This window comes from Homo sapiens, chromosome 1 (assembly GCF_000001405.40).
Source record: "Homo sapiens chromosome 1, GRCh38.p14 Primary Assembly".
In the NCBI taxonomy this organism is placed as follows: domain Eukaryota; kingdom Metazoa; phylum Chordata; class Mammalia; order Primates; family Hominidae; genus Homo; species Homo sapiens.
This window is the reverse complement of record NC_000001.11, coordinates 221,326,581-221,350,585: the sequence shown is the minus strand read 5'-3', so window position 1 is coordinate 221,350,585 and position 24,005 is coordinate 221,326,581. Positions and strand designations below refer to the sequence as shown.

Here is a 24,005-nt window from a genome sequence, read left to right as displayed (position 1 = left end):
TTCACCACGTGAGGACACACCTAAAAGGTGTCTTCTATGAACCAGGAAAGGGGCCTGAACCAGACATTGAGTCTTCTGGCACCTTGATCTTGGACTTCCAAGCCTCCAGGAGTGTGAGCAATAAATTTCTGTTGTTTTAAAGATACCCAGTCTATGATACTATGTTACAGCAGCCTGAAACTTGCACTTTTAAACAAACATAGCAATCACAAATCTATCCTCTGACTTCTGGCTTTAGCTTCTGCTTCAGTACACCCTCTCCTCCCAAACTCCGCTACTGCTTCTTCAAAAACACTTGGGCAAGGCAAACCACTTTGCCCACAGCCTACTCCCAATTCCATAACCATTATGTAATTTCTGTCATCAGTGTTTTTAACTAAGTTCTGAGCACATTCCTCAGCTGTGCTTAACAACAAATGGAAAATGGCTTTTAATTCCTTTGTATCAAACTTATATAACAAAGTGCAAGTTGGGGACCCAAGTAAAAGTAGAAAGGCCAGAGAAATAAAGAAAAGGTCATAATGTAAAATTATATGAAGCAATATATTATCCACTGCAGCATAAGCCCTAATACTTCTTTAGAGGACAGCCATAATAAACAACACTCTCCCTGAAGAACTGCAACACCTGCTACTGATTTTTTTTCTTCCTTTAAATTGGAAATCATTGGTGGAATTCTACAAACAGAAGAGGACTCAGGCTATTGCTTTTAGACAGCTGGGAAATGTGCTTTCAAGATGTCCGTGAGCACCCAGATGGTAGTCTGAGCCCAGAGATGGATGGAGAAGGAAGATCAAGAAAGACAGACAAAAAACAGTAACAGAGAAGGACAGAGACAGCAAGAAACCTGGAAAGATGGAGGGAGAGAGAGATTAAAATCCAGATTCAATTTCTCATGGCAACCTGAGCCATTTGCTTTGCTGGTTCTCTAAGCACCGCTTCCATATTTTGGATTTAATAAAGCCGCAGTAAGACTTTTGCCCCAACCACCTTTTTGTGCTTAATTGTTAAGCTCATATACAATGGGAAGGAAATAGAATCCATATGTTTCTACTCATTTATACTTAAATCATCCAAATATGGTGTTGTAACCCCAATTTGTCATTCACAGAAACTTTGGAGACTTAAATTTTTGGAGGCCTGTCCCAATTCTCCACTCTTTTGTGGTCCTCAAGTAAATACATATATTTGAATTCAAGAGTTTGAGAGATTTATAAGAAATTCCAAAATAAAATTTTCCTCCCTTTGTTGGTTTTCCTCCAACCTCACTGAATTGTCTCAGATTTTTTTTTGCTGGCTCTTCTTCTTCTACTCAAACTCTTAAGTTGGACTGCTCGAGGACTCAGCCATCAGCCTTTCTTGTTTAGCTCCACTGTCTACCCAGGGATCACTTTCAGGCCCATGGCTTTCCCCGCCATTCATATTAACATCAAACTTATATCTCTGGTGCTCATTTTACACCTGCGCTTCCATATGGACACCCTGATTCCTTTTTTATATTAACACTTAGAAGTCATGCAACGATCTCAAATTTAACTTTCCAAAATGAAACAGGTGGTACCATTTTTGCTTTCTCTTTTCTCCTGTGCTGTGGTAAGAACCCTGGACTCCAGGGTTATAGACTCACCTCTTGTGAGTCTATCACAATTTCAAAATAAGAAATTATGCTGAAAAAATGAATCTTTGACTTCTGCTTACCTGAAACATATTCTTCCCCCAATCTTTTCCATTTCAGCAAAAGGCACAAACTTTATCAGTTGCATCTGAAAAAAAGAAGTTATTCTGGTTCTCTCCCTTTTCCCCACTATCCTCATCCAGACATCAGCAAATTCTGTTGGCTCTACCTTGCATTTGTCTACTTCCCTCCATTATCACCAGCACAGTCCTAGTGTATGTCATCATTGTAAAGAATAAGAAGAGTTATCATATATGAAGAAAGATAATGTGAGCAAAATATTTTTCCCTCATCCTGTAGGGATGGCAAAGCTGTGCCTCACTAATTTGTAATTAAGGACAGTGGTCTTACAGGTCTCCAAGTTTTAATCACAGTCCATTCATGTTCTCATTACAAGCTACATCTCAATATTTGTTTACTTGTTCAATTGTTCTCTTATTTGTCTTTGTCCTTGGAAGGGCTACAGCCCCTGCAGGACATGAACTGGCACAGAATGAGATGAGGAGTGCTACACCAGAGACGTAAACACTAGATTGTGTCAGCCAGAGGAGGGGTTACTCAGTTTGCAGAAGACTCGTGAAGCTGTTTGGTAGAGGTTACATTTCAACTCAGCCTAGAATAAAGTGGACATTGCTCCAGAAAGATAGGGTGAAAGAATCATCCAATCTAAAGAAACACCTTTGACAAAGGACTGGAGATGTGAAATAACATTGTATGCATGAGGAAAGAGGAAAACTTCTAGTGGGGGAAAATATAGGGCTATTTCTCTTTTTACACAAAATAGGTGGCCAGGTATACCACCTAAAATACTCTCCACTGGGAGGACTCTCTGTTGCCACTCTTTCAGGCTCATCCTTGAAAGGGGCTACAACACAGCAGGTGTCCATATTTCATTCACAACAACCTGTCTAACTTGATCTATTCCATACGACCTAGGTACATTTTTTCCTCTTCAGTCAGGAAACTCCCATGAGGTCATAGGTGTTGACTTGAAAGAAAAGCACACAAGAGAACTCGTGAGTGCCTTCTGGACCTGCTCAGGCCTCATCCTACATGTGAAATGTCCATCACATGACTAACTGTTGCTGTATCCAGCCAAATTCATGGGAATTGACAGTTTTTAGCACTTTTTAAAAACATGAGTCTAGATGAGTATAGATAAAGAAAGGTTCACAGACTAAGCCCAGCAATGCTAAAATACTTAAAAATTAGGGAAATGGAGAAGATTCAGCAAAGGCGACTGAGAAGAATGGTTCAGGGAGTAGGAAGAGAATCAAGAAAGACTGGCTCCTCAGATGTCAATGAAAGAAAACTTTAAAAAACCAGGAGTGATAAACTGAGTTAAATGGCACTGATATATTAAGGAAGGTTAAGGTTGGGAATTGACGGTTAGATTTAGTAATGCGGTGCTCACTAATGGTCTTAACAAGAGTACCTTTTTTTGGAGGTTTGGGGCAGAAACCTGACTAGAGAGTATGTTTAAGAGAAGGTATGAGAAGAATTAGAAGCAGCAACTTTTGACAACTCTTTCTACTAGAGTCTCTCTAAAGAAGAGCAAGAAGATAGTGTTGGTAATAGCTGTTAAGTTATATAATTTCATGTTCTCTCCTCTCCCTTCCCCTTGCTGAAAAAGTATCTTCCATACCCCAGTGCCTAACAATTTCCATTTAGATATATTCCTTTGAGTAAGCATTGCCTTTTTTAGATATTTACTTTATATTGCAAGTATGTCTAGAAGGGAGTAATTAATTCATTAAGCTCCTGATACCTTCAAGGCTTTGTAGGGTGGTGGATAGAGCACAAGCTTTGAAATCAGACAGAACCCACAGCTCTAAGACTTGGGATATATTATATTAACTCAGATTTTATTTTTTCAACTATAATATCAATCATAAAAATCTATAAAGCAAATAATATTACTCTTACCAGATTCTTTAATTTTCTTTACAGTAGAAGACACAGGGTTACATTAGATCTGAGATATTAGAGAAACAGTCTTTGAGGGGAGGGGAATTGTGTTTGGTGTGTTACAGTTCCCTTAAGAAGTAAATCCTTATACAACCCTCAGGGCACCAAGTAAAAGAGGGCACCATCTCTGGAAAAAAACCTAAATCCCTTGACCTAACCCTCCGTTCATGGACATCAACTTTTCCTGTGCCTAGGACAGTGCCTGCTACATATTAAGAGTTAATAAATGTTGAATAAAGAAGTGAAAAAATGAACATTCTCCCTTTTCATCCTAACCTTGCCCACCTGTCTTCTTGTTCATAGTTTAGCAAACAGATTTTCCATTCTATCCTCCATCCTTAGACGACAGTAAATCAGCCTTCTCCCAGTTTCATTCTGCCCACATGCTCCTTCTGGGTATCAGGTTTTCTAGTCTGTAAGGCTGCAACTGGGAAACTGTGGCTATATCTACCTCTTTGAGAATTTTGTCATGGGCAGACCCTGCTTACATCATCAATTATAATGTGACTATTTGCTATTTGTATATTGATATATGTGAATTTATAAAGAGAATATAGAAAAAATTTCTGTAATAAATAGAAAACGTGTCTTTTTATTTTTACTTATTTCTTTATTTTTTCAGACAGGGTCTTGCTCAGGCTGGAGTGCAGTGGTGCGATCTGGGCTCACTGCAACCTCTGCCTACTGGGCTCAAGTGATCCTCCTGCCTGAGTCTCCTGAGTAGCTGGGACTACAGGCATGCACCACCATGCTCAGCTAATTTTTTTATTTTTTTATGGATACAGGATATAAGACCATTAGTGAGCACCACATTACTAAATCTAACCATCAATTCCCAACCTTAACCTTCCTTAATGTATCACTTTGTAGCCCAGGCAGGACTTGAACTCCTGAGCTCAAGTGATCTGGCTGCCTTGGCCTCCCAAAGTGCTGGGATTGCAGGTGTGAGCCACCGCACCCAGCCTAAAAAAACATATTTTTAAAGGCCACTTGTTTGTATCTCCATTAATCCTTTTGACCCTTTTTGGTCTATCTTTTGGTAAGGGAAGCAAAGTAGAAGTAAATTCTTTATTAATTTTACCTCTTCCTTTTTCTCTCTAAAATTAGGAAGTCAGAATAGAGCTCACAGAAAATGTGATTTAGGGTTAACTTTTGATACTATCATATGTCATTTGGCAAGCTCCTGGGCTGAATGTACTGGATGGGGACAATTTACTCCTTTATTTTCATAAAAAGAAATCAATTCCGTGTGTTCCTTTTAGGGAGCTTTCTGTGTATGGTATCTGTGTGATTAACAACACATACTGTCAAGTTCTGTTGATGCCACTTGTAAATTGTCCAATTCAACCTGATTTTAAGTCTTCCTGGATTTGTTTGGTGGTTGGGTAATCATTTGACTACTGATGTATTCCACAATCAGCCCCAATTCAAGTTCCCTCCAAACCCCCAGCTTAGTTAATGAAGCTGACTCTTCAGTGCTGTTGACTTCTTAAACCAGTTTATCTCCCAGTGTGCTCTGAAGTGCCCATCCAATGTCCTGTCTCTGGCCCAATGCCATATTTTACTTTACTATGACACTAGAAGACAAACAAGAATAAAAGATTATTTATTCTGCATCTTTGTATCCACAACCCTTTGCATACTGTCACATAGATGCATGAGCACGTAGAGGCACTCAATGATGCTTGTCAAATATTACACATGAACAAGTTTGCATAAAAATGCTAGCTTTTTTTCTCATCATCTTGCTGAGCAGCAAGCTAATGTGTCCCTTTGAATGCTAAAAATGTCTTAATATGGTGAATGGTTGTTGGTGAAGAAGAATTAGGCAAGTTAGACAATAAATAATTGGAAGTCACATCTGGACCCTCCTGACAACTTCAAACACTATTCTTAGAAAATAATAGATTTTATAACTTCCTGATCTGATTGCAATAGGGAATGGGAAAGAGTATGGATTTCATTGAGTCATTCACCACCATTTACTAAATTTCCATTCATTTCAAACCCCTGAGTCATTTCAGTCCCTGAGATGGACCTACATGTTCTTCCCTGTCCTTCTGGGTTAGGAAAGCTCTGGCAGTGTGTGGATGGGGGTGGCCACAGACATCCCTTGCACACATGCTCATTGGGCTTCCCAAACAGGCTGTGGAGGTCTGCTCTATTGTTTCTACATGGAACAGATGCTAGTGGAATCTTTCAAATGTATATATTCAGCTGAAGCTGGATTTAACCTTTTTGCTCATATCGTGGCAAAGGCAACTGAACAGAAAAGGCTGGATTTTCATTTTGTGAAGTTAAATCTGGACCTGCTCCATTATTGTACAGAGCATACGCAAGTAGTTCAGAACAAGAAAGGCATAACTTGCATTAGGATCTGTGTTCCCTAGATCCTTCTGAGCAGGGGAGAAGGCTCTCAGGGCAATGTCCTGCACAGACACAAAGAACATTGTCTGTGCCACTCAAATGGTCAGTACAGAACCTCTAATTATGATTACCAGAGTGAACAAGCAGATACCTAGATAGATGTGAGACATCTGCCTAAATGATCAACATTAACATCAACTGATGTCTGTTCTTGCCACTGTATTGATGTTATTACAAGATGAAATCTCTCTGCATCAGCCTAATTCCAATCCAACTCAGAAATACCTGTGTTGCACAGAAGTTTCCACGTATGTAACATTATGTTTTTATTTTTTTAATATCTATGTTAAAAGTGTAAAAGGGACATGATTAAATTCTTTATATTATACCTCTTGCTTATTAAAATGACCAAATGATTTATAGTCAGATCATGTGGTTACAGCTTGGATAATAATTTATATTGAATAATAATAATACATATGATATGCTCTGCGCTTGACAAACTCCCCCTTGAAACCCCCACAAATATGTCTGCCTGGCAATATTTAATCCATCTTTTGTTTCCCAGCTCAGGAATTTTATCTCTTTATAATCCTATTGCACTGTGTGCTTAGCAGTACTAAATATATTACCTCATGCAATTATAATCATTTATTTACATTTCTAGCTCCCCACTGTACTTCCAATTCCTTGAGAGCAGAGTGTGCTCTCTACCAATTTTCCAATTTGTGTTACATATCTTTGTATTGCCAATCGCACAATGCCACACTGATGCATGAGCGCAGCCTCTAGTAGAGTTCCTGGCACACACACAAAAATTACTCCAGCATAAAGATTTGCTAAGTTTGCAATGTACTTTTATGTACTTTATCTCAATTCATACTCACAACGATCCTGTGAGGCAGGCATTTTCATCCCCCCTTAAGACCTGAGGAAATTAAGGCTTAGAAAGATTAGGTGATTGGGACAAATGTGCACAGTTAATAAATGCCATAAATTTAATGCTAGCCAAAATCTTCCAAATGCCAAATCCCATATTATTTCCAGTGTGCCACAGTTGCCTTTTGAGATGTCATTTCTCTCTCAACTGAGGAAATGACCATTATCACCATTTTCTAGGTCAACAAAAGCAAATCCTAAAACTCTGCCAGGTAATTCAGTTCTCATCTCTGGCAGCAACAGGAACCAAGAATAGGAAACCAGTATTACTATTTTGCCTCATAGCCAATTCCCATGCATGTAATGAGCACCATGTGTTCCCTGATCAACTAAGCCTGTGAATAAGATGAACATGGACAAATATACCAGTCTAAACCCCCCTCACAGTTGGCAGTAACAGGACTTGGCATTGTGCTGGACATAAAAGAAGTGCTTTTAGGAAATGTTATTTTCTTTTTCTTTTTCCCCAATACACTTATACCAATCATATGTTTAAGATGACATTTTGATTTCATGGCATACACATTCTCCTGTCCTCATCCCACTGACTCCACTTTCATATTCTTTCTATCTTGGCACAATTGTGCAAAAGGATCCTCACCCTGAATTTCAAAACCTTTGCAACTAGCTTCTGAACTCCTTCAGTTTTGGTTTGGAACTGGGCTGTACAACAAGGACATAATTAAATTCCTTGGTTGAGAGATTCTGAAGGGAACACTTAGAGGCTCTGAAATATTCAGGGCACAGGCAGAATTGTTTTCATCTGAACCACCTGAGATCCTTCCAGAGTAAGTCAGAACTCCCTGGGATCCTCTGGAGCTCCTGGGCCCATTTGAGTCCACTCCTAACCTCAACCTCCTCAGCCTTTCAGTAGTTCCTGGCACCTGTCTTCTATGGTTCCATCTCGAATTTCAGTGATCACAGAGTGCTTGTTTTGTACCAACCTGCATAACGGCCCAAAGGACTCAGCACCAATCACTTCTAAGATAGTCAACAAGAAAAAAAGGCACTGCATATTCTCACTAACATTCATATTAAAGCAAAAAGTTGTCTCACATCTGTCTTGTTGAGTTCCATTTTAAAAATTAGACATTGACTCTCTTCTATATCTGAAGAATTGATTTGGCTTTGGGATCAGAAAATTGTCAATGAAATTTGAGATATGATATTCAAATTATAAGAGCCTTGAGAAAATAATTAGTTTTTTGCAATGAGAATGTAATAAAAATTGGCAAAGATTAGCCAGAGTCTAGAAAAAGAAAAAGCCAAGGAATAATAAGTGCCCAACCTTAAGAAAGAACAAGAGGTCATCCTGATCACGATGCCATGTTTTGCCAAAAACATTTAGAGAAAAGACTTTGAAGGAGTCCTAGAATCTAGTAGAAGTTTTATCATTTCAAAAATGGAAAGATTTGACAATTGACCAATAATGAGAATGACAGACAAAGAGAGAAGAAAGCTAAGAAGTGTTTGGGGGCTTTCCACCAAAATAGCTTAAAGGTAATGTGAGTTAGAATAACATTATAATACCTCTAAATATTTTGAAAAGAATGAATACTTCATTATACATAGTGTACAGGGGCATCTGGCCTTGCCTCCTTGGCTGCTTTGGAAACTTATTGTCCTAGATCATGAGGATGTCCTTGTTGAGCTCTGTTACCCAGAAGGCTGCTTATTAAGATTACTGGTCCTAAGTGGTACTGAACTCCCAGAATAAAATGAGAGTTCTTTCCTTCCCAATAGTTAAGGAATAAATGTCCAACACCAAAGGATTCAGCAGATTTGTCTCAGTCAGTACCTGCTAAAGTTTCAACGAATGTTCATTGAATGACTGAAGGACTGAATGAATGCAGAAGGACAAGAAATCCTGATCCCGCTTATAGGAGATAGTTCTCTGCCTTAGGATAAAGAGTTTAACTAGCTGGTGACTGGATACTGATCATCACTGCAATTAATACCTAATTTTAGTTTTCAGTTACCTTCGTCACATGCATATTTGTGCTAGACAGCAAATACCTCAATAGTAGAGATTGCTTCTGTTCCATCCAACAACATTTACCTGGCCCCGCCTATGATACAGTCACTGTGCTAGTCACTGGTAATCCAAAAGTTTATCTTTTTTTTTTTTTTTAGACGAGTCTCGCTCTGTCGCCCAGGCTGCAGTACAGTGGCACAATCTCGGCTCACTGCAAGCTCCACCTCCCAGGTTCATGCCATTCTCCTACCTCAGCCTCCCAAGTAGCTGGGACTACAGGCACCCGCCACCACGCCCAGCTAATTTTTTGTACTTTTAGTAGAGACAGGGTTTCACTGTGTTAGCCAGGACGGTCTCGATCTCCTGACCTCGTGATCCACCCGTCTCAGCCTCCCAAAGTGCTGGGATTACAGGCGTGAGTCACTGCGCCTGGCCCAAAAGTTTATCTTTATACTCACTACATTTTAATGAGTAGACAGACAGAATATCATAATAGAAGTAAATTTTATAACAACAACAGGAGACCTGTACAAGGCACATCAAAGGAGAAATTTTTAGATTATCATCTCATGTGGTTTGGTTTCTTTTGTGCCTAGCAATGGAATTTAATAAATGTTTGATAAATCAATGAATAGATAAATGAATCAGTGTTGAATTTGAACAAGCCACATATTCATACAAATATGGCTAGGTTGGTTTTTCTTGAGGAATGTTGGAGACTTTCATCAAAGAAGAGGTCAATTCAGAGTACTGAAGTCCTACCCTAGTCCATTACCCATGTTTCAGGGTAGAAGGCAGCACATCATTCTCTCCTAGGACCCCAAGGTGGCAAGGTAGGGAAGACTTCTCCTCAAAGGAACCTGGAGGCTCATCACAGCCTTACCTCCAGGGAAGGAAGCAAAATTTGAATCTGTCCTGGAGAATCCTCTGCCTTTCAGGACTCTGGGTGGCACAAGGAGAACAATATTCATTTTTCAGAAGCTCTACTAGGTAATGTGCCCTCCCTTGATGAAAACCATGCTTTGGGAACCACCAGAAAATTATAGGAGCCCACAAAAGTAAGTGTGGAGCCTAGAGTCTGACTTTGGTAAATATGCCATTTACATCATCTAACTGCGGGATGGCAGGGTGAGCACTGATCAGAACAGTGACTCTTCACATTTCCCAGCACCTCTTAATGAACTCTAGCAGATATCCCAGGGTACAGTCACTCTCTCCCCACATTCCTTTTCTGAAATTGTTAAATCAATGCCACATCAATAAAACAATATGGAAATATGAGCTCAGAAAATCACTGGTGAGCTAACAATCGTTCCCACTCCCGGAACTATAATAGGATCTAGACAACTAAGTTGGCTCTAAGTAACTATGCTGGACTACAGCCTTCTTGTGTGCAACCTGCAACAATGCTTTTACCTTCTTCTACTCACTCACAGCCTGACTCCCATCTTTGATACCTTTTATAGCCCCACTGGTTTTAGAAACTATCACATTTCTCTTTGGATCTGTGAACTTCTGTTCTGCTCTCAGTTTTTATCCCTGCTTGCTTGCACAGTTTTGGTGGCCTGTCCTTCCTCCACCTTTACCAACCTCTGTCTTGCCCTAAAACTTGGAGAGAAGGCCTGAGACACCAGGAACCACATAAATGCTTCTATAGTATTCTATGGGCAGAACCCAGGAGCCCAGTCATGATGCTCCCTGAACAATCAGTACATACTCCAAGGAGAAGGACCTGGGTTCAACTCCCAAATGAATTAGTAACAGTGTAACCTTGTCAATCTTGTTGAGCTACAAGGTTCTTGTGTGTAAAATAGTAATTATGTAGTAATAATATTAGGCCCAAAGGACCTCTGTAACGCACAAAATAGAAAGATGTATGAATATGCTTCATAAGCAGTATTCATTGCTATTTGGTACTCTGACCACCTCAAAATGAAGCTTATGAAAAAAAAAAACATCTGCAAGTCTGGTCTTCGTAGGGGAGAGCTGGTCTTGGTAGTAGAATGTCCCTCACTTGATATTTGGTGAATTAAAGTGAGATTAAAATGGACAAGCTGGGCAGAATAATTACACTTACATTGAGACATGATTTCTATGGGGCAAACTGGGAGAAAATATTGTTAGAAAAACTAAGCAAAACTTCTAGATTAACCTCCAAAGGAAAGAGCAGAGTTGCAAACTGTGATTAGAGCACAACTACAGACCAGTGACACCCCCAACCTGTAGGGCTAGAAACAGAGATCGCGGAAGCATGATCTCTTCAGACCCATTTATATACACAGTATAGACACACTAACGCTGAGATGCCAAAAGCTGTGTGTTGAAGGAAGAGTGAGTACTAAATATCAGGAAAACACATGCGATGCAGAGATTAAGTGGCATGGGTTGGGTTTGGAGGCGCCAGCTTCCAAATGAGCACCTGTGCTCATCATGCCTGGCTGCAGCCAGCCCTGTCATTCATCAATTTCAAGAGGACTAGATTCAACACTAACTTGAAAAAAGAATTAATGTGATGATCTTGCTGCCGATGAAAGTAATACATGGGCAGTTCTGAACCATTTCATCTAAATTTGCCACTATTAAATTCACATGTGCAACAAAGCAGTTGGAGCCTCATATCAGTTACAACATATGGATTCTGGAAAGTGAGAGCATGGCAAAAGGTAGAGGTGGGGCGTTAATTGTAAATGTGCTTTGCGTGCAGCCCCAAGTCATCAAGATGGAATATTTCCCCATTGGGAATGTGTACATAAATGCACAGACACACACACACATGCACACAAACACATACACACACCTTTAAACACATAAACTCTCTTTTGCTTCCCTCCCGCTTCAAAACATAAGATGTTAAATAAAGAAAAAAAGAAAGAATTAATTAATTTGCATATTTGACCTCTCTTTTCAGAAAGAATGTATCAAAGCAATATTTTTTTCCTGTTGCCTACTTGGTTTAAAATTTTCAAGCAGTGTTATGGGAGGAAAAAACTCTAAACACGAAATGAGAGATTTCATTTTGATAATGGTTACATACCAAATACACGAAAACTTGGATGCTTAAATACCGTCCATTAGTTCAGTTTAGACTTTTGCTAATGTTTTCCCTAGATTTTCTCCACCAGAAAATTGTTCTTGGTGATTGACAATATTTTCATGAAGTCTGAAAGCATATACTTATCCCACAGTAAGAAAGAGGGCTAAATTTGATGTTTGACAAAAAGACCATCCCTATGCAAAAGATCAAATGGTTTCCAAGTTATCAGGCTCCTGACCAAGAGTTGTCAGAAAATAACTTTGTTGAGAATTCCGGGTGGAATCATGTTCATGTCACTGAAATTGAGATCAAAAAAGACTCTGAATTTGGTTATTGGTATTATTATATATCTTAGTTTCTCAGCCTCAGACAAAAAAAGAAAAGACATTATCATATGGGCTGGAACACCTTCTAAATCTAATACTTTTATGTAACCATAAAATATCAGTATTATTAACAATGAGAAACATTATTATGAATGCTTAAAATTCTCCAAATATCATGCTTTCATTTTTACATACATTATCTCTTTGAATCTTCATACTAAATCAATAAAGTAAACATAATTAGCAGCATCTTACAGATGAGAAAAATTAGGCTGTTAAGAGACTTTGTTGTGGCCACAAGGCTAGCAAATAACAAGAGGTAAAATTTAATGCACAAATTTTGAACCTCAAAGCCTATGTTCTTAAATACTACATGGTTCCACCAATAAATGTGTTTGCTAATGACTTACAGTCAATTGTACATAACATACAAACAACAAAAAATAGAAGTGAGAGGAGGGCTGAGTTGTAGTTGTGTCAAGGGCCCCACGATCCATTTAGTTCCATGAGTCCATGATGGCAGCCAGCTGTGAGCTGGACATGAAGGAGTTTCACTTCCAGTATCTGAGTATAAAACCCTGGGAAGGACACAAGCCAGAGGAGCAAAAGGCACCAATAGTTTGGAAACATGCACCTTATTTAGAGTCAGCCTTTTCTTCTGGTGGGACTTCCCCTGGCTTGGAGTTACTTCCACTGAGCACTCAAGATGGGATCACACTCTGATGATGCTTGTCCCAGATTCCAGAATTGCCACGATCTGCTCCCATGTATTGATCCCAGCAAGCTTAATACTCAAGGCATAAAAGCTTTGACTTCACTAACTAAGCCAGCATTTCTCCTAAGAGGCTGGATGGATGCTTTGATATTGAATGAAAATATCTGCATTTCATAATTGTACAAAGGCAAAAGAGTGATGGATAAAGATGGAATCTAAACACAAATATTTAAATATCTCAAGCTTGTATTTGTAACAATGATGCTATCAGCATACGGTTTGTGTGTTTATGCTTTGGAGGGAAGCAGGCAGGAAAACAGTGCCTTTTCTTCGGAGGGCAGGATAGTATCATCATTGTACTGCATCCTGAGGCTACTAGCATTCATTGGAGAAATATTGAGGCACAGGCACAGAGAGAGGCTGAAGAATAAAATGGTTACAACCAGTTTGTGCTAACCCCCAGCCCCCTAGCTTGTTGATGGAAAAATCAGCCAAATGACTCTCTGTTGACCTAGTCTTTGAGAGGAAGGTATTAGGTGGCAGTTATTCCTAAAAAGAGGTCACTATTAAAGACGACAAAAAGCAGCTGGTAGAGTCATTAACCACGGTGGTTTCAAAGCTTTGGTATTAATATAAAACGTAGTGCTTGTTTTAAACGTAACCCAGAATTCTAGAAAAGACTAAGAGACTAAACAGTCTCTGCAGATGTAAGAAAGTCTTATTTGAGAAGATACGTAATCACATATAAGGATAGTTTTTACTTTTTAAAACTGTCAGCTGAGAAGCTCACAAAAAACCTCAGAGCAGCTGATGGCAGGTAAGTCTGATTATTTCCCTGCAACAGAGAGAGAAACTGAGGCCTGGAACTCTACAAAAACTGTCTCCGAAACTCTTGGTGACAGAAGATGTTTCTGCAAATGGGTACTGCATGACACATAGGGCCCGGGGCACCTTAAAGAGAGAATCTTGATTTTTTTGAAAATGAAGGTAAATTAAAAATAAAACATATTCTTTTTGTAGAACATGAAGTAACTTTTGAATTCAGTTTATATGTTAAATGGCCCCAGTTTATATGTTGAACAGCCCCCAGGGGCAGTGCCATTGAAGGGGCTGGCTCAGGGTGGCCGGTCATTCTGACATTGTTCCCAGTTCTCCAGTATTGACCGTATCAGGAGAAAGGTTTTCACTTTCTCTTGGATCCTGACATCAGGGGGGAAAAATGCAGTGTCATAGAAAAAAAAAAAAAGTAAAGATCAGCAGACAAGAGGAAAAGTAACTGGTGAGTTTTGGATTTAGAAAAGTTTTGGATTCATCTGTTTATGAGGAGGAAAAGAGGCCAAGAAAAGGCAGCAATTTGTCCATGTGCTTAATTAGTGAGTGGCAGTGGCAGTAACCTGGTCTGCTGAGCTCCCTGGACTCCCTGATCCCAGCTCAAAATAGTTTCCAGTTTTCATCTGCCAGTTGCTTCGGAGGCTTTTCTAAGGAAGACAGTTCATAAAATGACCCAGAATTCATCCTCCTTAGGTGATAGGATCATTACTCCTTATACACCCCCTAGGTCTCAGCCTATGAACAAACACTTGTTTGTTTCTCTGTCTACCCTGTTCCAAACCACCGAACTGGATTTTGCCAACAAGAAGAGCTGTTTCCTGTGCCTGCCCCTGAGAGCTGATGGCTTCCCAGAGATGCCTCACAGTCCTGCGCAGACAGAGAGAATGCAGAAGGCAAGTCTCCTGGGGCCACTTGTGGACTCACGGTTTATAACTTCTTGGTTTTTTTATTGTTGTTGTTTTTTAAAGTCCTAACCCTTAGGCCACTGGCTAACTGATTTATCTTCCCTGGGCAGTGCTTGCCAGAGAGCGGTCACTATGGCCAGAAAGGGGAGGGGCTGTGTCTAAACTGGAATGTTGGAGGTTTTTAACATTTTATCTCTGTCACTCCCTACTGTAATCTCCATCTAACCGCAAAAATGTGGTAGCTTTGATCCACTGATGCTATCTTTCTCTATGTCCCCATACCCTTTCAGGAAGGAGCCTTCAATTCTCCAGACTGAGCTGCAGTACAACCTCAATACTCACCATAGTGAATTTCTCAGTCTTTTTCTCTTTGCTCCATGAAAGCACCCTGAATCTGAGATCTGGTTCAAAGGCTTTCTCCATTCAATCACTACTGGCTGATTAGGCAATGGCAATTTGAGCAATCTCTCTCTCTCTCTCTCACACACACACACACAGACACACACACACACACACACCAGTTTTCCACCACCAAAGGTCTCTTTTGTACAGAACAGTGACTCATTGTTGTGACAGTTTCTGCATCACTAAATGGAAACAATTGTAAGACATCCTCATCTTCCCAGGGCATGAGCTGCTTCAAAAACAGAGAAGCACAAAAGAAAATATTTGTATCTGGCAGTTTTTGCCATTCAGTCACCTGCTTTCCTACTTGGGTTCAGGAGCTGGCTTGATTCCTGCTGTCACCATGCTGGTTATGTGACTCCACTGTCTCCAAGAGACTCCCTTGATGGGGAACATGATTTTGCAACAACCATCCCTTGCGCTTTCTCCTCTTTTCTGGATGGAAATGAAGCATTGCTACCCTATGGCTTAAAGCAGGAGTCCCCGTCCCCAAATGCCACAGACCTGTACCAGTCAGTAGCCTGTTAGGAATCGGGCCATACAGAGGAGGTGAGTGGAAGGCGAGGAAACATTACCGCCTGAGGTTCGCCTCCTGTCAGATCAGCCACGGCATTAGATTTTCGTAAGAACGCGAACCCTATTGTGAACTGCGCATGCCAGGGATCTAGGTCACGTGCTTCTTACGAGACTCTAATGCCTGAGGACCTGAGGTGGAACAGTTTCATCCCGAAACCATCCCCCACCCAACCTCATCCATGGAAAAAATTGTCTTCAATAAAATCGATCCCTGGTACCAAAAAGGTTGGGGACCACTGGCTGAAAGAATTTAGACTAGGGGCTGCCAGTCCATGTTAACATGTGTTTAGTTTCCCCTCGGATGACTGCCCAATAAACTACCTGAGTGCCCTAGAAATCATAGTTACAGAGGCTCAAGGGTGATGACAATGTTCCAAGTCTCCATCTGTCCCCTTTAGTTCATTCAAGAAGTCTTTTCCCTAATGAGAAGAAAATGCTTTTTAAAAAAAGAAATAATTGCTACAAACCTGTAGCACACCAGCCTTAGGACATATTAGAGAAAACCTCCCCCATTGCTGGAGAGCTGGTTCTCAAATCTTAGCTGTTTATCCAAATACTTGACATCGACTTCCTCTTGGAATGTACTCTATCTCAAAGAGGAAGAAGAAATACACCAGTTTGTTGCTTATAAGTTGGCAGGAAAAGGCCTGCACATGATAAGCTTGGACTTCTATTTTAAGGCTTTATTTTTCCAAATAAATCCATATATACAAGGGTTTTGGAACCGAAATAGTCACTGAAAAGTTACACTTCATTGCCTGTTTGGCTGAAGCCAAGGCTAAAGTTCTCTGGAATGGGTTTTGGTAAGGCGGATTTCAGGTCGCAGTAAAAAAAACAAACCACAACAAAAACCTTTTCTCCCTATGTCTTGTCTTCCTCTAAAGCTGGCAAAGGATCCTCCACACGCAAGATCAGAGGACGTCCCAGATCATCTTTTCTTTGTGGATACTGCAGGTCTACGTGAAATAGTGTGTTTTTGCGGGGTGCTGTCCCTTAGGACAAGTGAAGGGCTGATGAGAAAGGAAACTGCGTGAGGTATCACAAAGCCATCCATGGGGCAGCCTATGAAAGTATGTTCACACGGAGGGAAAATATCAGTGTTCATATATCCCTTTTAGTGCTGCCTTCCCTTTTCCACTCCCACACCACCCCCAAAACATTTTAAAAAGTTAGTTTTGGAAGACTGACTTTGTCTTATTCTAAAATGTGTGCACAGTAACAGAAGTGAGAAAGTCATTCCAGTCTTCATCTAGTCACCTGAGTCACAACTTTAATGCAGCTTCTTTTTGTTCCTCAATCTTTGATTACATAATCATTTGCAAAAATACACTCCTGAAATGAAATCACAGTTAGCCTTGCATTTTGGAGTAGTATTAGAATTAAGACTTGCCATCAAAGAGGTTGCCATCTAGAATGTTTATTCTCTTTACTGTGCCCCAGGGGTTTTACATGCATTTGCAACTTTATTTTTATTTTATCCTACAGGAAAAAAGGCTCAGAGTGAATGGCTATTAGCCTAAGGTTACTCAGCTAGTGATATAGGAGTTAAGAAGAAATTATTTAGGCAGATAGTGAGGGTACTGGAGTCCTCAGAAAGGTTTTCCTTTTAATGAAAAGCAGCCCCAAAATCATTTTCTTTTCTAACAAAGAGCAGCCTGTAAAATCGAGCTGCAGACATAGACAAGCAAGCTAGAAGCTTGCACAGGCGAATGCCTGCAGTTGTGCCAACAGGAAAAGGCTACCTGGAACTAGGCATGTTCAAAATGGCAGCTCTGTCTTCTCTTCTCTTTGCCAGCCAGGTGTACAGTAAGGAGCAGACAACATGGCACTGGCCAAGTGGAAAGGCTGTTTGCATAATAAGATTACGATGGGGTGGCCTGCCTTCCCTGTGTGCTACGTAAACATCACACCTGATCCAACCAATCTGCAGGCCCTACATAAATCAGACACCGCCTCCTCCAGCCTGCCTATAAAATCTGGTACACTCCACGTGGGCCAGAAGTCCCATTTGGATGCCCCTCTCTTTCGCAAGAGAGAGAGCTGTTCTCCTTTCTCTTTCTTTTGCCTATTACATTCCGCTCCTAAAGTCACTTCTCATGTATGTCCACGTCCTTAATCTTCTTGATGCAAGACAATGAACCCGGGTATTTACCCCAGACAACAACACCACTTCACTAGGAGTTAAAAGAACTTGAAATGCAAATTCATGGTCATCTGGTTCCAAAGCCCATATTAACAAAATTTTTTTAATTGTGATAAAATACACATAACATAAAGTTGACCGTGTTAACTGTTTTTAAATGTACAGTCCAGTAGTGTTAAGTACATTCACATTGTTGGGCAATCCTTCTTCAGAACTTTTTAAGTTTCCCAAACTGAAGCTCTGCGTCTATTAAGAACAACTCTTTCTTCCAATCCCCAGCTGTTGGCAACTATCATTCTACTTTCTGTCTTTATGCATTTAATAATTCTACGTACCTCATATAAATGAAATCAAATGGTATTTGTAACTGGCTTATTTCACTTAGCATAATATCCTCAAGATTCAGTCATATTGTTATATGTGTCATAAATTGCATTTGTAATATCACAAACTACACCTTGATATATTGTCTACTGATTAGCATGGATTTATAATTATTTTTATGCTTTGCCTTCTACATTCTATAAAAGAATAAAAAGTTGAGTTAAAAACCAAAATTATAATAATGAAAGTTTTTACATTTGCCCATATTTTTACCTTCGCTAGAAAATTTTATATGGCCTAGCATCCATTCATTTTAACTTAAGGGATTCTCTTTCACATTCCTTACAGAACAGGTCTAGTAGTAATGAATTTCCTCAGCATTTTTTTAAATCTGGGAAGTTTTAATTCTTTGCTTTTGAAGGACAGTATTGCTGGATATAGAATTCTTAGTCACAACTTTTTTTTTCTTTCAGCATTTTAAATATATTATCTCACTACTTTTTTATTTGCAAGGTTTTTGCTGAGAAATCTGCTGATAGTGTTATTGAGGACACATTGTATAGCTATTTTTCCATTTCTGTTTTCAAGATTTCCTTTGTCTTTGATTTCTCACAGTTGACTATATTTTAGTTGGATCTCTTTGGATTATCATACTTGGAGTTTGTTGAGCTTCTTGTATTTGTAGATTCATGTCTTTTCTCAAATTTGGGCAGTTTGGGGTCATTATTTCTCCAAACACAGTAGTTTACCATCACCCACAGTTTCACTTTCCACAGTTTCCATTGCCAATGGTCAACAGCAGTTTGAAAATATTAAATGAAAATTCCAGAAATAAGCAATTTATAAGTTTAAATCACATGCCATACTGAGCAGTATGATGAAATCTTGTGCTATCCTGCTCTGTTCTACCTAGGACATGAATCATCCCTCTGTCTAGGATATCTACACTGTATATACTACCTGCCTGTTAGTCATTTAGTAGCCATCTCAGTTATCAGATTGACTGTCATGGTATCACAGTGCTTTTGTTCAAGCAACTCTTAGTTTACTTAACAAAGTCCCCAAAGTGTAATATAGGTAATGCTGGAAATTTGGGTATGCCAAAAAAAAAATGTTCATGGAGTGCTTCCTTTAAGTAAAAAGTTGAAAATTCTTGACACAAGGAAGGAAAAAAATTATGCGAGGTTTCTAAGATCTACAGTAAAAGTAAATCTATCCATGAAATTGTGATGGAAGAAAAAGAAATTTGTAAGTAGTACATATAGGGTTTGATACTATATTTGGGATGTTGGAACATACCCAATTGATAAAAGAGGACTACTGTAAGTTCTCTGTTCTTTGTTTCTCTCTTCTCCTAAAACTTCATAATGAGTATATTGGTTCATTTGGTAGTATCCCATAGTCTTTCAGTCTCTGTTTACTTTTCTTCATTCATTTTTCTATTGGCACCTTAGCCTCAATAATTTTAAATGATCTCTCTTTAACGTTAAGGATTTTTTTTCTGCCTATTCAAGTCTGCCATTAAAACATTAGGCTGGATGCGGTGGCTCACGCCTGCAATCCCAGATTTTTGGGAGGCTGAGGTGGGTGGATAACTTGAGGTCAGGAGTTCAAGACCAGCCTGACTAACATGGTGAAACCCCATCTCCACTAAAAATACAAAAATTAGCCAGGTGTGGTGGCATGCACCTGTAGTCCCAGCTACTCGGGAGGCTAAGGCAGGAGAATCACTTGAACCCAGCAGGTGGAGGTTGCAGTGAGCCGATATCACACCACTGCACTCCAGCCTGGGCAACCAAGGGAGACTCTGTCTAAAAAAAAAATACACCGTAGTAAATGTTTGAATTCAGTTATCGTGTTTTTCAGCTCCAGAATTAATTTCTGTTAGGTTCTTTTTTATAACTTTTATCTCTGTTTTGCTTTGTTTTGAGACAGGGTCTCACTCTGTAGCATAGGCTGGAGTGCAGTGGCACAATCTTAGCTTACTGCAGCCTCAACTTCCCTGGCATCAGGTAACCTTCCCACCTCAGCCCTACTAGTAGCTGGGACTAGAGGTGCACACCATCATGCCCAGCTAATTTTTGATTTTTAATAGAGGCAGGGTTTTGCTATATTACCCAGGCTGGTCTCTAACTCTTGGGCTCAAATAGTCCTCCCACCTCAACTTCCTGAAGTACTGGGATTATAGGCATGAGCTACCAGGTCTGACTAATTTCCATTTCCTTGTGAATATGTGCATTTTGTTCATGTATCTTTTTTATGATTTTCTTTACTTATCTGCCTGTGTTCTTCTTTGGCTCATATTTAAGAATATAAGCATATTTAAGACAGTTGTTTTAAAGTCTTTGCCAAGGAAGTCTGAAAACTGTGTTTCTTTAGGGTTAGTTTCTGGAGATTTATTTGGCTCTTTGAATGTGCCGTGCTTACCTATTTCTTTATATGCTTTGTGGTCTTTTTTATTGAAACTTGGGCATGAAAAAAAAAAAAACAGTCACTTCTCCCAATCTTTGTGGACTTGCTCCATGCAAAAGAAGACTTTTGCTATTTGGCCTAGCATGAAGGCCCAAGGTCGTCTCAGGTCTTTTCTGGGGATGTCTTTCCTGGGCCTATGTGTGTGCTTCCTTCCCCACCCTGCCCTTTTTTCCCCCACCATATGCCTTAAAATTTCTTAATTTCTCTATAAGTCTCACATTTGCTTCTTCTCAGGGCCTTATGTCCTATTATATTCCTCTGTTTGTATTCTCTTGCCCCAGGTACCCAGTTCCCCTGCAGCTCTCACTACTGCTTTCAGCAGTCCCTAAACTGATATACAAACTATGCCATTATTCTCATCAACACTCCAAGTTAAATGAAACTGAACCCAGTCCCTTGAGCTGCTTCCAGAAACATCAGAACGTTGTAAACAAGTTCCACTATTTTTCTTCCATTCTGAGGGACGAACCAGGAATTGGGTAACTTTCTCCCAACTACTCTGCTCTGCACCCAACAGTAGATAGAGCCAAGATGAGCAACAATGCCATGGAATTCTCTACCAGGTTGAATGTAGCTTTTACTAGATTAGGCATTTGCTGACTTCCTGCAGATTTTTAACTGGTTTCTAGCATTCTCATAAAGCTATGTTGGTCCATATGTTGCTCTTTACTTGGTGGTTCCATGAGGGAGTAAGGCTCCCTTACTTGTCCACAACCCTGCTGATATCACTCTTAAAGTCTGTATTTCTTAACTATACCATATCCTTCCCATCTGAAGATGAGACAGTCACACACAAAAAAGAACCATTTAAGCAAGTGTACAATTAAGTAAAAAATCATGAGCACAGATTGAAGATGAGGGAAATGATTAAAGCTAGAATAGCAAAAGTAAACTTCATGGAAGAAAGGAGAAATTGGACTGAGTTTTACATACACACACACACACACACACAGAGAGAGAGAGAGAGAGAGAACAGGACAAATTTTCGTTGTTGAGAGTCTTCCATAAAAGAAGAAATCTTGAATCTCCAGGTCCTTCTAAAACCATTATGAAACATTTTCATAAAATCCAAAAATGAGGAAAAGGAAATTAGTCTCATCATAATAAAGGGTGAGAACAATTTGTTTTTTATTATTATTATAATTATTATTATTTAGACTGACAGTTGGCATCTAGAAGTAAGCTCTAGGGTCTTTAGAGTCTTTAGTACCTGTAGGGGACATAGACGTTTTGAAAACCCATCGCTCACCAAACAAGAGGCTCTGTGATTAGAGAGGCATGAATGGCTGAACTATTTCTTAAGAAGGATCACATTTTTTAGATGAAAGTCAAACTTACATTTGGAATCTGAGATCCTGCTGTGGTTGAGGTTTAACAGCTAGTTTGAAAGCCTTGTTTTTTACTTCATACTGTTTGTAATTGTTCTATTTTCCAGATGTTTATTCTTAGAGCATTTCCCACAAAAGTAGGAGAACTCCTTTTGAAAACCTGGATGGCTCAGACCCCTTTGGGCCAGATATTTTAGACTAAACTAAATAAAACTGGGAAGAAAAAGATGCTTGAATGTGTTTGAAAATTCTGAAGACATACTCTACACAAAAGCAACAAAGGCGGGACCAGGAAACAAAGTATTAAGTTCGTATTCCCCCATTAGCTTACCACCTGTTCTGTCTGATCGTTAACTCAGCACAGAGAGGGGAAAAGGCTAATCTGTAGCACATTTTTTATCAACAAACTTGTACAAAACCCTGCCTAATTATCCCATTGAACTTGTGTCCTCCCAATCGAAGGCTGTTTTCCAGCCTGGCTGACAGCCAACTGCAGCAAGCTGGTGTCCATAAGCATGGCTAATGACAGCCCACTTTCAATCCAGGAGCACTATAATTGCCCAGAACAGTTTACAGATCCATTATTTTATGACCATATTTCAGAAGGACTGGTTGGAGGTTGACAGAGTAGGATTCCTGGTAATGCAGTATATGGGACTGGCATCACTTTGGACCCCAGATCATTTTCTGGTTTAAAAAAAAAAACAAAAAAAAACTAATTTCCCCCAAAATAGCTGCTTTCCTGACAAAAGTCTTTCAAGAAGCTGTGGTAATAGGAAGGCAATGTGAGGCAACAAGAGGAGCACTGGACAGGATGTCAGAGCCCTTGTTCAACCCCTCACCAGCCCTATACAACCTGGGCAAGCCCCCAAATCATGGAGCTCAGAATCTCATCTACTTCCAGACCTACAGTTCTGTAGGATGCTGTTCTCCTTATTAGGAACTTACTGCGTTGACACACCACAAACATGTATTGCCAAATCCATATGCACTGGAGACTGATCTCAATTCTCAGGCTATAACTTTAAATAAAATAAAGTCCCTACCCCTCATGGATCTTATAATCTCATAATAGGCATACAATAAATAATGTAATGTCAAAAATTATAATATAATTAGTGCTGTGAAAAAAATGAAGCTGAGGGGAGAGTATGGAAAGAGGATAGGGCTGCTATGTTATACAGAGCCATCTATGAGGGACATTTTTCAGAGGCAATATTTGAGCAGAGGTCCTATTAAGGGAGAGCAGAAGTCATGTGTATATATAAAGCTAGGGTCCTCAAACTGAGGGAACTATTAGATATACAAGGTGTAACAAAGGGCTCAGTGTGGTTGGAACACAATGATCAAAGAAAATGGTAGGATATGAGAACATAGAGGAAAAAGGTATAACCTACAGGATCTTATAGGAGATGGGGGTTACTGACGAATTTCAGTAAAAAGTAAAAAGATGGGGGTTTCCTTGAATGGGGAAATTCCACAATCTTCTCTGGGATGTGAAGTTTCACTCTGGCTGCTCTGCAGGCACATGGGGAGGCAAGAGTAGAAGAGAGAGACCAGGAGGTCTGGCTGTGTGAGGATTCCCAGTGAGATGTGATGGGGCTTGTACCATGGTCATCACTTTGGAGATGGCGAAACAACACTCAAAATAAATGATGCCAAAAGCCACGGGAAATTGTTCCTATTATTCCATGTAGCCAGGTTTTACACAGTCTCTCCCTGTCTTAGGTTTAAAAGCATTCATGTCATGGTAAAAGGTTTGTCATTTGACTATTATCAGATGTATGTCTCATCTTCTCCTCCTGGTTTTTATAGAGCTACTAAGTGAATTACCACACTTTATGACCCCTGTTACCTATTGTAATGGTCACTTACCTTTTTGGTTTTTCCCCAGCTGCTGCTATTCTACTTGGAGGAGGATGGCAGGGTAATATGATGATTATAAGTCCCAAGACTAGAGTGAGGTCAGTCAGATTGACTATTATTACTAAGTCAAAGGCCGGGCACGGTGGCTCATATCTG

At 39.8% G+C, this 24,005-nt stretch overlaps 2 long non-coding RNA genes across 2 annotated transcripts in view, besides 1 other annotated feature; one reads left to right on the top strand and one right to left on the bottom strand.

Annotated features, from left to right (window-relative positions):
* The window catches only part of LOC105372932 (uncharacterized), a 166,214-nt gene that overhangs the window by 119,632 nt on the left and 22,577 nt on the right, over positions 1–24,005 (bottom strand). The gene's annotated exons all lie outside the window — the stretch shown is intronic.
* Positions 13,961–15,160: an enhancer, noted in NCBI's record as "MED14-independent group 3 enhancer chr1:221508768-221509967 (GRCh37/hg19 assembly coordinates)". NCBI's record gives its function as "activates an origin of replication core promoter dependent on BRD2, BRD4, P300/CBP and CDK7 cofactors, and independent of MED14, by STARR-seq in HCT116 cells {active_cell/tissue: HCT116}" and the evidence as "EXISTENCE:reporter gene assay evidence [ECO:0000049][PMID:35650434]".
* Positions 14,290–20,658, top strand: LINC02817 (long intergenic non-protein coding RNA 2817). Its single transcript, NR_024236.1, has 2 exons — positions 14,290–14,723; positions 16,601–20,658. It is a non-coding gene; the product is annotated as a long intergenic non-protein coding RNA 2817 (long non-coding RNA).